General features: G+C 33.2%; 1 long non-coding RNA gene across 3 annotated transcripts in view; it reads right to left on the reverse strand.

Annotated features, from left to right (window-relative positions):
* The window catches only part of LINC02476 (long intergenic non-protein coding RNA 2476), a 287,946-nt gene that overhangs the window by 145,512 nt on the left and 125,251 nt on the right, over window positions 1-17,183 (reverse strand). The gene's annotated exons all lie outside the window — the stretch shown is intronic.

The following is a 17,183-nucleotide window of genomic DNA, read 5'->3' on the forward strand; positions in this document are numbered from 1 at the left end:
AAATGGGCAGAAAGTATCCCCAGTGGGAAAAGTTCTCAAAAAGGATTCAACATCTCAGGGACAGGACCACTGGATAAAGAAGAGAGTTAGGGGTTTTTATCACTTTTGTATAGCAAAAAAAAGGAAATGGATAAAATACTTTCTGAATATTGAAAAGAGACTACTAGAATTGAAATTAATAGACATTAATTTTAAGCAGGAAGGTGTGTAGGGTAAAAGTTGTAAAATTCACTTGCGTTAATTACTATTTCATTATAATTAATCTTGATACAATATAAGAAAAATCCCTTATTTTCTTCTTCAAAATGTTTTTGTGTATCCTTGGACCATTATTCTTAATAATAATTAAGGATTGCCATTCTAAGTTTCATTCATATTCCTTTGAGAAATTATATGGGAAGAATTCTGAGTCTTTAAATTATTTTGGGAAATTTTGTCATCATTGAAGTTTTTCATATATGAAAGCAATATTCCATTCCATTTGGTCAAATATTTGACTTTCTTGAAAAATGACTTCTAATTTTCTTAATTAAAGTTTTGTACACCATATTAAATTTATTTCTTTGTACCTTATGATATTAGTTGCCAGGATAAATAATAACTCTTCTAAATTAGATTTCTATATTACTTTGTTGCTGGTCTATAGAAATGCAAGTGATTTGTTTTTATTGTTGTTATATATAGCCACCTTACTAAGCTTTCTGTATAATTCTAGCAATTTTCAGATTTTCAGGGTTTTATGGAAGCAAATTAAACTACCCTTGAAGAAAGACAATTCGATTAATTTCTTCCTAATTCTGTGTTTGTATTTCCATTTTGATAATGCTGGAGAGGTAGTATCTTACCATGTTTTGTTGTTGTCATTGTTTGTTTTTCTGTTTTGAGAAAGGGTCTTGCTCTGTCTCCCAGGCTGCAGTGCAGTGGCCAGATCATGGTTTACTGCAGTCTTGACCTCTGGGGCTTCAGTGATCCTCCTGCCTCAGCCCCCTGTGTAGCTGGAACTACAGGTATGCACCGCCATGCACGGCTATTTTTATTTTATTTTATTTTATTTATTTAATTTATTTATTTTTTGGAGAGAATGGGTTTCACCATATTGCCCAGGCTGGTCTGGAACTCTGGAACTGTTGGGCTCAAGTGATCCATCTGCCTTAGCCTCCCAATGTACTGGATTACAGGCATGAGCTACTGTGCCCTGCTCTCCATCTTACAATGTTGAATAGAGATGATGTTAATAGGCATCTTTGCTTTATTAAAATCTTCAAACTAATTTACTTAAAATCAGTCATGAAATGCCAAGTTTACCATTTAGTTCTGAGTATTATTTTGATTCTGTTATGATTTCTTCTATACTTAAAAATTATTTAGAGTAGAAGATTTACGTGGTTTAACTTTGTGTCCCCACCCAAATCTCAACTTGAATTGTAATCCCCAGGTGTTAAGAGAGGAATTGGTGGAAAATGATTAGATAATGGGGATGATTTCCGCATGCTGTTCTCATGATAGTGAGTGAATTCTCACAAGATCTGTTGGTTTTATAAGTTCCTGCCTTCTCACACACTTCTTCTCTCTCCTGCTGCCATGTGAAGAAGTGCTTCAGCCATGATTGTAAGCTTCCTGAAGCTTCCCAACCATGCAGAACTGTGAGTCAATTAAACCTTTTTGCTTTATAAATTACCCAGTCTTGGGCATTACTTTATAGCAGTGTGAAAACGGACTAATACAGAGTCTCACACACACACACAATACACATTGACTAGGATGTTAATTTGGTTGTCACTGAATCCATGGACAAACTTAAGAAGAATCAATATTGTTACAACATTGAGTTTTCAAATGCATTTCATGTATTTAAGTAGGTTGTTTGTAGATTAATCTGAGTTTTCTATGTACATAATAATGACACCTGTTAATATTGACTAGTCTGTTTCTTATTTTGTTATTTTAATCCCTGTTTTATTTTACTGCTACAGTAAATGTTGAATAAAAGAGCAGAGAGCATTTTTGTCTCCTTCCAGAATTCACGAAGAAACTAACTTTTCAGTTGCTATAAGATTTTTGTAGAACCCAAGAATCACTGCCTCACAAATACAGTTCTTGCTGCTTGGAGTGCAAGTAAATCATCATTTTTGTTTGCTTATTTTCAATATTCAGTAGTGTTCTCTACCTCTGATGCAAGTTACCTGAGACATCAGCTAAATATATTTCCTTCAAAGTAAAATAACTGGCCTGTTGCTGGGCTTTCTGGGAGAAAGAGCTTCTAGCACTGACCTATCACAAAATTCTGACTCAAAATTACTATTACATGATGACTAATGTAGCAGAGAAATTCTAATCAGGATGGAATAGCCAGGCAGCACTCACCGATAAAATGGAAATGGTAATAGAGGAGCATGTCATTCTAGCAACAAAGGATTAGAGTGTTTATTTTATTTATAAATAACATTATATTCCACAAATGTTTTGGGCACTAAAGACAGAAATCAGAGAAAAGCTAAAAGCACTGGATTATTTGATACATCCTAGTATTCAAGAGGTATGTACAAATAGTAATTATAAGGACCAAGAATTTTATTTAACAATTTGTATTGAAAAAATAAATTTAGAGACAAATGTCATAAAATTATCAATTTAATGTCTGGGATAAAAGCAGATGTGTTTAATAAAGATGCTCCTCTTGTATAGCTGGAAGACAGACTATGCTAAATAACAGGCACATAACTTGATTATAAAACCATCAGAATTTCAGAAAAGCCTGTATTCAGGGCCTCAACATGTTTCTACCTTACAAGCTGGATCCTCACATGAAAGTAGTTAAGCCCTAAGAGTTGGGAGGGGGCCATATGGGTAAATAGCTTGAATATACTGACCCCCTGATTCCCATCCCCAATGTTAGAAAATAGCAGGGTCCTCTTTGCTGATGTCTGTGTAGTTGCTCTACCATATAACACTTGTACTCCTCAATATTTTCTCCCACTTTAATTCTTGGATAATTACTTCGCAAAGCATCACTAGAAGTGATCTTGAATGTCCTGAACTAAGAAAAGCAAAGTATAAATCTGAAGAAAGGGAAGATTGTTGACACAGAGACAATCCATATCCCAAAGTTTAATGTTCCTGGAACCTGTCTTAACACAATGCAGGAATACAACTTGAAATATTGGGAAAAGATATGGTCCACAATGTATGGAATGAAAGTGTCAGAAATACATTGGCAATTTCCAGGAAAATTTTAGAAGACATCCCTTTGGAAGAAACAATAACTAATACCACGAGTGAGTATAATATTGGCATTACTTAGAAGTTCTAAATTGTCACAGTTGATACTACGAGATGCTGTTAAGGAACTGGGGATTACTAATGATGAACAAAAATGATTTGTAAAATATACTGGGGCAGGAGCATATCTATAGGAAGCTAATCTATACTCTGTTCTGTGAACGCGAAATTGCTTTGCCTAAAAGCTCTAACATTTGAGAATTTATATGTGAGATACCAGGAAATGGTTGACAATGGAAGGAGAGAGAAACTCCTACATGACAAAACTAATTCACATTAATAGTACAACTATCTTGGTCAGAATCTCCAAAGGAACAAGGATGATTATCCAATTGATGGTGCTGAATTATTTTCTGAATTGCCTTTGAATCCCAGTTCAAATGACTTACTGTTTTATTTGAGTTTCTGTACTTTGTAGAAGGCCTTGCTCACGTTTGAAGTCTAGTTTCATGGCTATGCCATGATTTCTCTTTATTTTCTTCTGTCTGTCACAATTAGCACTCTCATATTACTTAAATGAATTCTCATCTAACAAAATGCCCTATCCACCACAATGTGGCATCTGTTTCTAGTTGAGTGTTTTCATAAGCTTCATAATGTACCTACCTATCCATGTGTCTAGGTTTAAAGCAAAACTGATGGTCATGCTATGGAAATCATTATTCACAATCTTTCACTGATAAGCAACATGGAGATCCTACATGAAATAGTCCTTACAGAAGTGTGCAGTCTGTGTGTATGTGTACATTCCTAAATTTTGAAGCAAAGTTATAATTATATTTTTCCCAGAGCACAGCCAGTTTTTATATAAGAAATTAAGGATTTTGACCATATGTGCTAATTAACTTGCTTCCTGAAGCCTTTACTTACTATGGAGTTGACACGATCTATTTAATTAAAAAAGAGAGAGAGAAGCTTTGTGAGATTTCCTGTTTGCCAGCATGCATGCATAGCACTTTCCAGCAAGTATGACTATGGGATGGTATTACATGATAAAAGTCATCTCTCTTCATTGATATTATGCTGAAATGTGTTAAGTCTCTGCTATCACAAATGCAAAAGTCAATATGTGGTTTGGATAGACCGTCTGTATAATTTATTTTAGGTCATTTTTCACAATTATTCTATAAAAGCATTATTTGTATTTTTCCTTATGTGCCTAATTCAGATACTAAACCATATCCGGGTCTTCAACTTATTTATGTCAAATTACCACAGTATCATAAAAGTTGTATTAAAATTAGTTTTTAGAAGCTGTAATGGCTATATAAAGCTAATTACAACGGAGGTTTTTTCCCATGCTCTAATAAGAGGAAAATAAAAGGTAAGTTTTGGTGAGGATGTGGAGAAAAGAAAATCCTTGCACACTGTTGGTGGGAACCAAAATTAGTATTACCATCATAGACATGGGGTTTCTGAAAAAAAAAAACGAAAATAGAATCACCATATGATCCAGAAATCCTATTTCCGGGTATTTACCCAAAAGATTTAAAATCCGTAAATCCAAGAGATATCTGCACTCCCATAGTCATTGTAGTGTTATTCACAGTAGCCAAGTTATAGAATCAACTTAAGTGTTCATCAACAGATGAACACATAAAGAAAATATGGTATACATAAACAATGGAATACTATTCAGCCATGGAAAAAGAAAGAAATGCTATCATTTGCAACAACATGGATGAAGTTGTACACTATAATGTTAAGTCATTATAGTCACAGATAAGACAAATAAGCCAGTCACAGAAAGACAAATACTGCCTCCTTTTACTTCTCTGTGAAATCTTAAACAATCGAACTCATAAAATAATAGAATAGAATAGTGGTTACCAAAGGCTAGGGGATGGAGGGAATGGGGGGATGGTGATCCAAGGGTACAAAGCCTTAATTAGACAGGAGGATTAATTTTTACTTTTTCTTTGAGATCTATTGTACAGTGTGGTGAATATAGTAAATAACAGTGTATTGTACATTTCAAAGTAGCTGAGAGTAAATTTTGAATATTCTCATTACAAAAATGATTTGTAATTGAGGTGATGAACATGTTAAGTAGCTTGATTTAATTATTTCACATTTTATTTATAGATCATAATATCGTTTTGTGCCCCTTAAATATATACAACTATAATTTTTCATTATATAGAGCATATAATGCTATGATTTCATAGTATCATTTTTATGCATCTCTTTAGGTTACACCTAAAATCCTCTGAAAATAAAATTTCATGGACTGTCACCAATAATTTAATTTTTAATATAATAACTGTTTTGGCTTAGAAATAAAATATAAAAATTCATATCACTGAATTTATAAAAGCTATACTTCTAGAATTAGTGTGACATTCATAGCACAACACAGAAAATCATGTCTGAAGACATTTTTCAATTTGACTTAGAAATGTCATTGCCCCTCTTCCCATGTCTCTCTCACTATGGAAGCTGTATGTCATCAAAGTGAATCATAGCTATGCCATGGAAACCACTGATATACTACTGGGGGCTTCATTTAATGCTACAAGGAATAACCAGCATGTACAAATGCCTCTAAATTTCTAGTGTTTTTCTACTGAGAAGTATAACTGGGAAGAAAACTAATCAGTTTTTAGATTTTTATTCAGCACCTTCAGTGGTACCTATATTACTGCTATGGATAGTGCAGATATATTTCTCTATTATATCTCCTGAAGAGATATTTTCCCCCTTTTAGAATTTACATAATGAGAACGATATAAATCATAAATTAAAAGGTGAATTAAGGAAGCAGCAGTATCAAAAAATTTGCTCATTTAAATACAAAAACAAGTACAAATGGTGAAAATTATGCCTTTTACTTAGGAAACAAAATAAGAATGTTTAAATTCTACTTTAAAAAGCCACTGAATACATGTTAATCTTAGACATTGTGTCCAAAAACTTGAAATTGGTAAAACTCTCTAAACTTATTCTGAAAAAAATAAACAACAATCCTCTTATAACTAGTTATCAGATTCTCAGTTATTTTGCCATGTAGAGTAGATTTTGAAAAATAATATACAAAATGTTTATTTCAGAGATAACTATTTGAGTCATAGATCATCTTAAGCCTTATGAGAATGACCAATGGATTTCAGCCCCTATATCAAATATATTGTTTTAGGTACATTTTCACAAATTCTGTGCATTTAAGCTTAGCCAGAATGAGTAAGTGCCAAGCTCTCAAAGATGTTAGCTGCTGATTATCGGCTCAGTGACAAGTGGCTGAATCAACATCTTTAAGACGTCTAATCTTTCCAAATCTTCTTTCTATTAGACTATTTTAAACTGGTTACTATTTATTTGTGCACATGTGCTTTAAGAATCACAGGAGGAAGATGAATAAATAATGACTGTTCTAGTAAAATTTTTGTTGTTTCAATTGCTATATATTCTATTGCAATTTTGTTCTGAGATTTTTATAGCAATTGTTAGACAGCTCACATTCATTCTGCATTTACTCTATTCCACACACGGAGGTAAGGGCTTTCGGTGGACAGTCTCTAAAATGACCTTTAATAATTCCTGTCTTCTGATATTTACATCCTTGAATAATCCTCTCCCCTCTGGTGTGAATAGTACTTGTGTCTTACTTCTAAGTAAATTATGTGGCAAATATGATGGGATACTACTGTGTGGTTATGGTATGTTCTCAAGACTCCATCTTGATAGTTAATTTACTCTCTTTCTATTGCTGGATTTGAAGAAGTAAATTTTCATAAATTAAGTGGCCTTGTTGGATAAGCCCACATGGCAAAGAACTTCAGAAGGATTCTAGAAATTGAGTGTGGCCATCAGCAAGAAACTAAAAGCCTCAGCTTTGTGGCCAAAAAGGAAATGAATTCTGCTAATTTGAGAAAGCTTGCAAAAGGTTCTTTCTCCAGTTGAGTTTGTGTAAGACCAAAGTACTGGCTGACACATGCATTACAGCCTAATAAGAATCTGAAGCAGAGAACCCAGCTAAGCCATGGACAGACCATAACCCACAGAAAACCGGAAGATAATGTGTATTATTTTTAAATTGCTTAGTATTTGATGATTTGTTACGTGGCAATAAACAATGACTATATGGATTTTCATATATTAACACGGCCAAATTTCCAATAACCTTATGAGTCAGAAGTCTGTGTTTTACTGATGAGAAAACTAAAGAAAGAGAGATTAAGTAATTTATTCTGATCATTATCAGAGCCAAGATTACCAATGAGGACTGCTATTTCCATAGCCCTTGTTTTTAACAACCTGCTGTATTTCCTTGCTAAAAAAATGTTTCTGAAAATTTGACTGACTTATTAACCAAGAACACTAATGCTTCTTTATATGTTGATTCTATTTTGTTTATGAGTTATTTTTGTTGATTCAACTCTATTTTCTATGGTTTTGACTAATATAACACAAAAACATTTTTTTATCGTCAAGCCAATCATATTATCTAAAATGTATATAAAAATTTCAAATCATTTAATAAAATTAAATACATGGTTGTAAGTGTTTTATTTTAATTTATTATTAGGTTAGGTAGCGGCTAAAAATACTGAATGGCCCTAGATGGCTCTCAGGTGATCTTCTCTCCTAATACTTCAGGCTGTTTTTACCCGGTAATCTCAGAGCAGCAGGAAAATCAGAGCAGAAAAAAGCAGGGCTTCTTGAGCCCTTTCCCAGAATTTGCACAAAATTTACTTCTGCTTCCTTCTGTTGGTTAAAGCAGTTCCCAAATCCAGCACAAACTCAATAGATAGGGAAATGGAACCCACCTCTTAATGCAAGGAGATGCAAATTATTTATGATAATTCTAGTCTTTCACCCCAAAATTGTGAGTCTAACTCATGAGCATATTATTTAAACAAAATGTCTAAAAATTGCCTAGGCAAAGTAGAATGTTTAGAGGAAGGGCTTTCTAGTCAGAATATCATAATAAGATAAACTTATCTACCTAGTTTTAGAATGTCAAGAAACAAAAGTGATACATCATCTCCATAACATGGAGCATACTTTTGGGAGATATGAGAAATTATCTTGAGGCAAGTGTATCTTCTAACTGTTCTTTGAATTATTAAACAACAGAAAAAGAATGTCATGTGTGATAATAAATATAGGTGAGCAAGAGGAATTAATGTGAATACTTTCCATGGAAAGGAAATTATATTTTCTACATACTTATATTAGAGAGGCACATTTGTTTTATAACTCCCATACTACCTCTTTTTCATTTACTTATAAAAACATACAAATAAAAAAATGTTCCCCTAGGGTAGAGTTATTTTAACATACATATTTATATGACTCTACAAATACTATTGAAGTCCTTAATACAGTAAAGATTTTTAATAAATATTTAGCTTGAATGTAATCAAATATATTTCTTGTTCCTAACTGGAGAAGGAAAAACAAGTATTTCTGTCAGGTGGCATTACTCATAACTCAGGCAGAATTTTAAGATGGCCTCTCAAGGTCAATCTCAAGATTGATGCCTTCTGGTGGATATGCCTTTCATAATCTCAGGCATGGCAATTTTAATGGGTCATATTCCCATATGTAGGATACATTATATGTCACAATGGACTTTTAAAAAGGGAGATTATCCAACCAGGCTTGACCTAATCTCATGAGCCCTTTAAACCTGGATTTTGAGGTCAGAGACAGGAAGTCAGGAATTCTAAGCACAAGAGATTCAACAATGTCTGAAAATTTCTGCTGCTGGCTCTAAAGGTAAAAGGCACAACCCCTCAGTCCTTAGAGAAAGTGAATCTAGGGAATGAATTCTACCAACAATCTGAAGGAACTTGGAAGAGGATTGTAGCTCCAGGTGAGACATTATCTGTGACACTGTGATTTCTACCATGTGATACCCTAAGCAGGGAAGCCTGGTATACTGTATTCATGGTCTGATTTCTATCATACAGACTGTGAGTTAATACACTGGTATTGTTTTAAGCTGCTAAGTTTGTGGTAATTTGTTGCCACAGCAATAGAAAACTAATGCATTCAGAGAAAAATTAACATTACCAAAAGAAGGAAAAAAACTAAAATCATTGTTTTCCGTTACCTCACTCTTCTATATCCCACACAAAATCATATATTTTTTAGACTCTAAGGTTAGTTAAATAACATGAGGTTTATTACCTACAAAATTCCCTACCAGTACTTACAGGCCACAAGGCAAAGTGTCTGGCTTTCTAAAAGATAACATCAGCTACTATTAAAAAGTTGTGTCAATATTAATTTAAGAGGTCTTTTGCACAAATGCTAGTATTGATAAATTGAGTTTCTTCTCATTCAGCTTACAGAATATATAGTATACATCAGTTTAAATTATGTATGTGAACATTTATGTTTCCAATGGTTATTTTAATCATCCACAAGATGAATGAGATGAATGTAACTGACAATTTCACAATGCATGTTTTAAATCTGCAGAACAAAGATATAAAATAAAATATAATCTAGGTGATAAAAGGTTTCTGCACTGATCATACTGCTAAATCTTTATATGCTTTTGAGCAGAATGTGTTTTTTTCCCAGAGAAACTATTGATCTGTGTACTACTTTCTTCCAATAAATGACTTCACATTAAACTCAACTAACTCAGTTAAAGATTTTATCATCCTGAAAACTTATCATCTTCGTTTAAATGACCGGAATTTGTATTCTCACATTTCCCCCAGAGTTCAATTAAAATTAAGTCCCCAAGTAAAGTATATATTTTATATCTACCTAGAGTAAACTCAACTCGGATATACTTATGTTGTTTGTTTTATAATCCTTATGTTCCAAATAATATCTCTTTGCCATCATAACTTCATATAATTTCTTTATAATTATTTGTAATACAATATTTGCTGTTTACGTTGAAAATTTAAAAAGTATTTTATGATTGATTTCAGCTGCTTTACCCACATTTTACATCAGAGGTTTTATTCCTTCTGTTAAAGTGATGAAGTTTTTGCCTCAAGGAATTTACATGCTAGTGAAAGAATATGACAATTAACACATGAACTAACAATGAGAGTATAATTTCAGATTGTCAGGAATGCTATACAAAGGGATAAAAAAGAAAGAAGGATAAGCAAAGAGTATGAGTGGAATATTTTAGATTGGATGGACGGGGGTGTGTAGCTATGTGAGGAGAGAACAAAGTCAAGAGAAAGAGTCAAGTAAAGATGGAAAAGAAAAGGCACATGTTACAACAAATATGATGGTCCTTCTCAGAGACAAACTTGGTACATTTGACAAATAGAAGAAAACAAACAGAAAGACTGGGACATAATAAGAAAGGAGAAGAATGTTTTGAGGGGAAGTCACACATGAAGGAATGAAAGAAATCATGCCGGCCTTTAAAAAATAGACTTACCTGTAATGGCAAATTACATATAAATAAAGGATTTGATTTATTTTGACTTTATAATGTTCAAATTGTACTGCTTTACAGAGAAACGCGCTAGGGAAAAGAGAAGAAAGGGTATTGTTTATGGCTACTGATTTACTCCAAGGAATGCAGTACATGTAGTTCAACCATAAAAAATTAGGGTTTTGTGATTTATCAGAGCCACAGTATAAGTGATGAGACATGGTTGAATTTAAGAGATATACTTTGAAAATAGAGTTGTAGATGAAGTTTAAGCTGACGGCTTAAGGGTAGATGGTCAGTCTAAAATAAATCAAAGATAACTAACTTAATTTGGATTTTCCCTAAAAGCAGACCCTGAGAAGAATATTAGAATTTCAGATTTTTAATGAATTAATCTCATAAAAGATATGTGAAGGAGTGAAGACAGTGAGACAGAGAAGGAAGACAAGGCAATATAAAGATATGCTAATCTCGGAAACTGATTCTTTTGAGATCTCTAGGGGAGTGTTTAGAATGCTTTTTTACATATCTCGTATAGCCATATAAAAGACAACACTGGGCAATTTACTTGCCAGCTTTTCTTCCTAGTTTATGAGCAATGGAACTTTTGAACATTTAATTCTCCTCTATACACACACTTCTAAGCTGTGCTTATTGTGGTCAAGTTGCTACCAAAAGCAATCTGATTAGTTTGATATTTGGGACATCAATATTGGGTAAATAGCAGGGGAGGATGAGATGTGAAAGACACAACCTGGCCAACATGGTGAAACCCCATCTCTACTAAAAATACAAAACTTAGCCAGGCATGGTGGCATGCACTTGTAACCTTAGCTACTCAGGAGCCTGAGGCAGGAAAATCTCTTGAACCCAGGAGGTGAAGGAGGTTGCAGTGAGCCAAGATCGTGCCATTGCACTCCAGGCTGGGCGACAGAGCGAGACTCTGTCAAAACAAACAAACAAACAAAAAACATCAAGTAGGCATTCATTAAATATTAGTTGTACAACACGATGCTTAAAACCACTGACTGGTTAGCTATGCTAAAAGCTGATGGAACATCAAAATGTGAGAAAGTAAAAGTAGGAAGCATGGCCAACTTGCTTGAGTATTTTTTCTACAGTATAGAACAAAACAGAGCAGTAGCTAGAAAGCAAGGGTTGAATTTTTCATCAAGAATGTTACAGCATTCATTATATCTTCAGAAATGTTAAGAAGAGAGAGAGGAAACCAATAATGTAGTACAGGAGTTAATTATAGGAGAAGCCATTCAGTAGGTAAGAGATAGAATACTGTTACCAATTATGTCCCATACTTCTAATAAAACTGGAATGAAGGCAAAATTTGTAAGTAAGATTCAGAATTTGTAGGTAAGCTAAGCTAGTAAAATTTGAGGTGGGGGAATAAGATTGTAATGTTACTGGGTTTATTTTCTTAGTGAAATTAAAAGCATGGTCACATGTTACATTATGAGAGAAAGGAGAACTATTTGAAGTAAAAACGGGTAAGAATTAATGACAGTCAACACCCCACAGAGCCAGGAAGATCAAAGAAAACCAAAGAAGACAAATATCAAAATATCTACTTATAGTCGTTTAATATTTAAACTGCAGAAAACCAGTGACACAGAGAAAACCTTGATTGAAATCAGAGGAATAAAATGAATATAAATATACCTTACCTACTGAGTAATAATAAGACTTAGAGTAGACTTCTTATAAGAAAGCATGAAAGCAAAGTAAGAGTAAGCAAAACATCTAAAGTGTTGATAAAAACAAACAAAACATCCAAACCATCAAACTAGAAGTATATTTCCAATGAAATTATTATTCTATAAACCAGCATGGCACATGTATACATATGTAACTAACATGCACTTTGTGCACATGTACCCTAAAACTTAAAGTATAATAATAAAATTTAAAAAAGAAAAATAGAGTTTTTCAGACATACGTGCACATGCACATACACACACACACTCACAACTGAAGGAAATCATCACCAGTAGAACTTCTCTGCAAAGATGTTGATAAGAAGTTCTTTAGGGAGAAGAAAAATGACATAGGCCAGAAACTCAAATCTATCAAACAAAAAAGCAGCAGAGAAAGAAGGTAAGTGAAGAAAAATAAACAAAGATGACAATTTTCTTATTCTTAATTTATCTGAAGGATAACGCTGTTTGTAAGGTAATAACAGTAACAATGTATTGAATGATTAAAGCATACAAATAAATGACATAAATGTGACAATAATATCTTCAATGATGAAAGGGAAGAACTGGGAATTCCTTGATATAAATTACCTTCATTATCCATGAAGTAGTATAATGTTAATTTATGATGAAATAAGATTTGTCAAACATGTATATTGGACATTCTAGAAGAAGTATTACATAATTTTTAAAATGAGTAAGATTAATATGCTACGGGATAAGATAAAATGGAGTCATAAAAAATTACAACCAAAAAAGATAAAAACTGAAGGAAAAGAAAAAAAGAATAAATGTGACTAATAGAAATCAGTTACAAACGTATTATATACTAAATATTTTCATCTAAAAATCTACATAAAATTATAGCTCAGAGTTAGTCTTAATGTTAAGACCAAATTCATGCATGTAAATTAATAGATAATCTGTTAGGTGGTTGGCAGATCCCCGGATTTAATACAGAATATGTCCAAACAATCTAATTGTAGTACAGATGTATGAAAGAATTTCACTGAAAGTGTAGGAGAAAAAGTTGCCTAGCTAAATAACTAAAAGGAAAAGAAACTGTTCATAAGAATTGTATGTAAGCACTGGACTCTTCTCAATAAATCACTTCATGTGGAATTGGGTTAACAATTCTGAAATGCTTATACAAGTATACTGGAAAGGAGCAATTTGGTAAATGAATGGGGGAGGATGGGAATTAGATAGCTGACTGTTGGAGGAAACAGCTCCAGATAAGCAAAAGGAAGATGCTAGAATGATCCATGTAATAACATTAGAATCATCGGTATGAACTAATGCTTAGCTTAAAATTGATACAGATGATTATGTATAAATTTATACATATGCGTGTATACATAGATTAGTATACATACATACATTTCCTATTCTATCAACTGAAACTAACAGTAACAAACCCCCAGAAGCAAGAAGTACACCTAACACTAAAATCTTCATTTCTATTTTATTTATTTATTTATTTATTTATTGCAGTTGGATCTCTCTCACCCTTGCTGGAGTGCAGTGACATGACCATAGCCCTCTGCAGCTTCAACCTCCTGGGCTCAAGGGATCCTTCCACCTCAGCCTTTCAAATAGCTAGGAATACATGTGTGTGCCACCATGCTTGGCTATTTTTTTTTAAATTTTTTGTAGATATGAGGTCTCCCTGTGTTGGCCAAGGCGGTCTCAAACTCCTGGCCTCAAGCAATCCTCCCATCTTGGCTTCCAAGAAGTGCTAGGATTACAAGCATGAGCCAGTATGCATACCCTAAAATCTTCCTGTCTAATGTCATTCTCCAATAAAAGGAGATAGGATTCATTGAAGAAACAGCTGATTCTAGGACTAGGAAAGAAAAGATACAAGACAAGCTGGTGCATTTCAGAGTGCCATAATGTAAAGCATGCTCAAAACACACCACACACACACACACACACACACAAATTGATTTTGATATGTCAAAGGTACACAGGAGCCAACTGAAAGAGCTCCCATTGTCTACATCTGAAAAAAGTTGAAGAACAAAATAAAATTGTATTAAAATATAACCCATAATATAAAATATATATCCATCAGTTTATACTGATATAAATAAATAATTCAATAAATAAATGAATGGAAGAGAAGAAACAAATCTCCTATGCAGAAGAATCTCAAATAATTTAGGCAGCTCTCAAGAAAGTGGAACATAACTTTAATTATTAGGTGTGAGCTACACATAAAGATGTCCTTCTAGGTGACTGTGGTAAAAAGACTAAAAAGAATACCTTCACAATGCAGAAACCTGACAAAACTACCTCAGCCAGGAGATCAAGGTAAATATCAAGAGTGATATGTCAGGTTGATAGTTTGGACCACTGATATGATATTCGGGAAAATGGCATTTTACATCTATGCCTTTCCTCCCCAAATCCCATAACCCAAGTCAAATTATGAGAAAAACACCAGACAAACATTACGGAATAATATTCTACAAAATGTCTGACAAGTTATTCTCAAAATTGTGAAGGTCATCGAAAACAAGAAAAGTCCGAGAAATCGTCAAAATTAAGGTAGGCAAATGTGACATGACAACTAAATACAATGCAGTATCCTGAATGGGCTTATGCATGAAACATAAAAAGAAAATACGAATAAAGCACGGCATTTACATAATGATAGCAATAATAATATAAAAATCAATATCATTTCAGTAATTGCAATGAGTGTACCATGCTTACATAAGAGTTTAATAATAGGGAGAACTTGCAGCAGGGTATGTGGAAATTGGAAACTCTGTATTATGATATCCTCACAGTTTTCTGCAAATCTAAAATTGTTCTAAAATAGTTTATTAAAAGTAAAAGAGAATAAATAGTGACGAAGTGTGTGATAGAATTTATTTAGATGGTCTTTGGAGAAAGATGATAACTAAATTCAATGTCTCATCCTAGGGTTGGTGGCTTTTTAGGCACTTTGCAGTGGTGACACAGCAATGAATTAAGTCGCAGTAGCAGGTAGAGAGGTCATCTGTTGGCCTCTTTTAAAACCCAAAAAATGGGCGTGGTGGCAAGTGCCTGTAATCTAAACTACTAGCGAAGCTGATACATGAGAATCTGTTGAATCTGGGAGGCAGAGGTAGCATTCAGCCAAGATTGCCCACTGCACGCCAGCCTGGGTGATGGAGCGAGACTTTGTGTTTTCTTCCTCTTTTTTAAAAAAACACACAAAACTATATGTCACTTAAGAGCCTAATATGTGTGGGTACCACATACTATGCAAAAGAGAAATAGTTATATTCTCTTTATTTTTTGGCTTATATTTTTATTTTCATAGTTAAAATATAGTACATGTACAATGATAAGTTGTAATAGAAAACAGACACTAGAAACATTAAGCTCAAGTAATACAGTACCCATGCTATGCCCTTCTCATGACACACATACTAAGTTTAATCGGAACATCATTATTTATATTCATTCAGATACATTTCAGAGATGATTTTCTGCATAAGTCTTCACTTTTTTACAGCTTTTATCATACAAATTACATTTGTATATTTGGTTGTTTTCCTTCTGCTCTGAAAAGTCCTTTTTTAGGTACAGTTGATAGAAACAATGTTGTCTGACAGAATGAAAAATTTAATGCTTAGCTTGAAATAAAAGGGAGCATTTAGTGTTGTGGATATGGAAAACAGAATTGGTGTGTATGGCATATTTTTGAGATAATTTATGACTCAAGAAGTTTTCTTTCTTTTTTTGTTTCATTTTTTATTGTCCCAAGTTTTATTAAGGAGAATTCACCATTTTATTTTCTGATATAACAACTTCAAGTATCCCATTAGCAGAGTGATTTTATTTTTATTTAATGTAGAGGAAAAGAATTAGTTCTTCTGGCATTTGTCACAAGGAACCTTTCTACTTCAGTTTCTATTAGTAAATTCTGATTTTGCCTCAAGGCTTGACAAAATCCAGAATTTGTACTGAGTTTATTCACATGTAGGGAAGGGAATTGGAAAGTAAATTTGATCTGCTGAGACTTAGATAGGCTTATTATCTTTAACACGTTATGTAGTCAAATATTGACTAAGTAAAACTTTCTGAGGAGAAAAAGAACTTGTATTCTTAAGTTTCATTGCCAAAGTACTTCTAAGTTACTATACATTTTAAAATAAAATATTGGAAAATATATTACTGTTAATGAGAGATAAAGAAGTAAAATATGTTAATGGGTGTTTTGATACCTAAGTAGAATACACAATAAATACCTTACAATATTTAAATTGCACATATCTGAAAATCAACTTTAAATATTCAAATGAAACTTTAAATATGTCAATAAAATGTACTACTTACTGTGTAATATCAATGAAAATGCTAAACATGAGAGTTTGAGGTTGAAGCATGCTCCAGACAAATTAAGATTTAAAAACATAAAATTGGCCAGAGGGCAGGAAACACCAATAATAAGAAACTAATTGAAGTATAAATAAAGAAACTGTAGTTGCACAGTTTTCATAAATAAGGCACAGGTTAAGTTGTTGGAGGCTCTATCCACTTTTGAAAGAACAAAGAGAAATCAAAAGTCACATAATCCAAGGGAACTAGAAAATATCAGAAAGATGAAGTCAAAGACCCAAAATATTATGACAGAATTAGAACCTGGAGTTATCGCAGGAAATGATTCCATGATTTGCACACATAGTGAATTTGGAATGCCAACGGGGCTGGTATGGAATGCATGGATAAAATAGAAGAAGTTAAGGTTAGAGATGGTGTAGCCGTGAGTCAATAATGAGATCCTTTATAAAATTCTTTGTGTTTTATTTTGAGAAACAAATTTTATCAACTGAAGT

The sequence above is a fragment of the Homo sapiens genome, chromosome 7, assembly GCF_000001405.40.
Source record: "Homo sapiens chromosome 7, GRCh38.p14 Primary Assembly".
In the NCBI taxonomy this organism is placed as follows: Eukaryota; Metazoa; Chordata; class Mammalia; order Primates; family Hominidae; genus Homo; species Homo sapiens.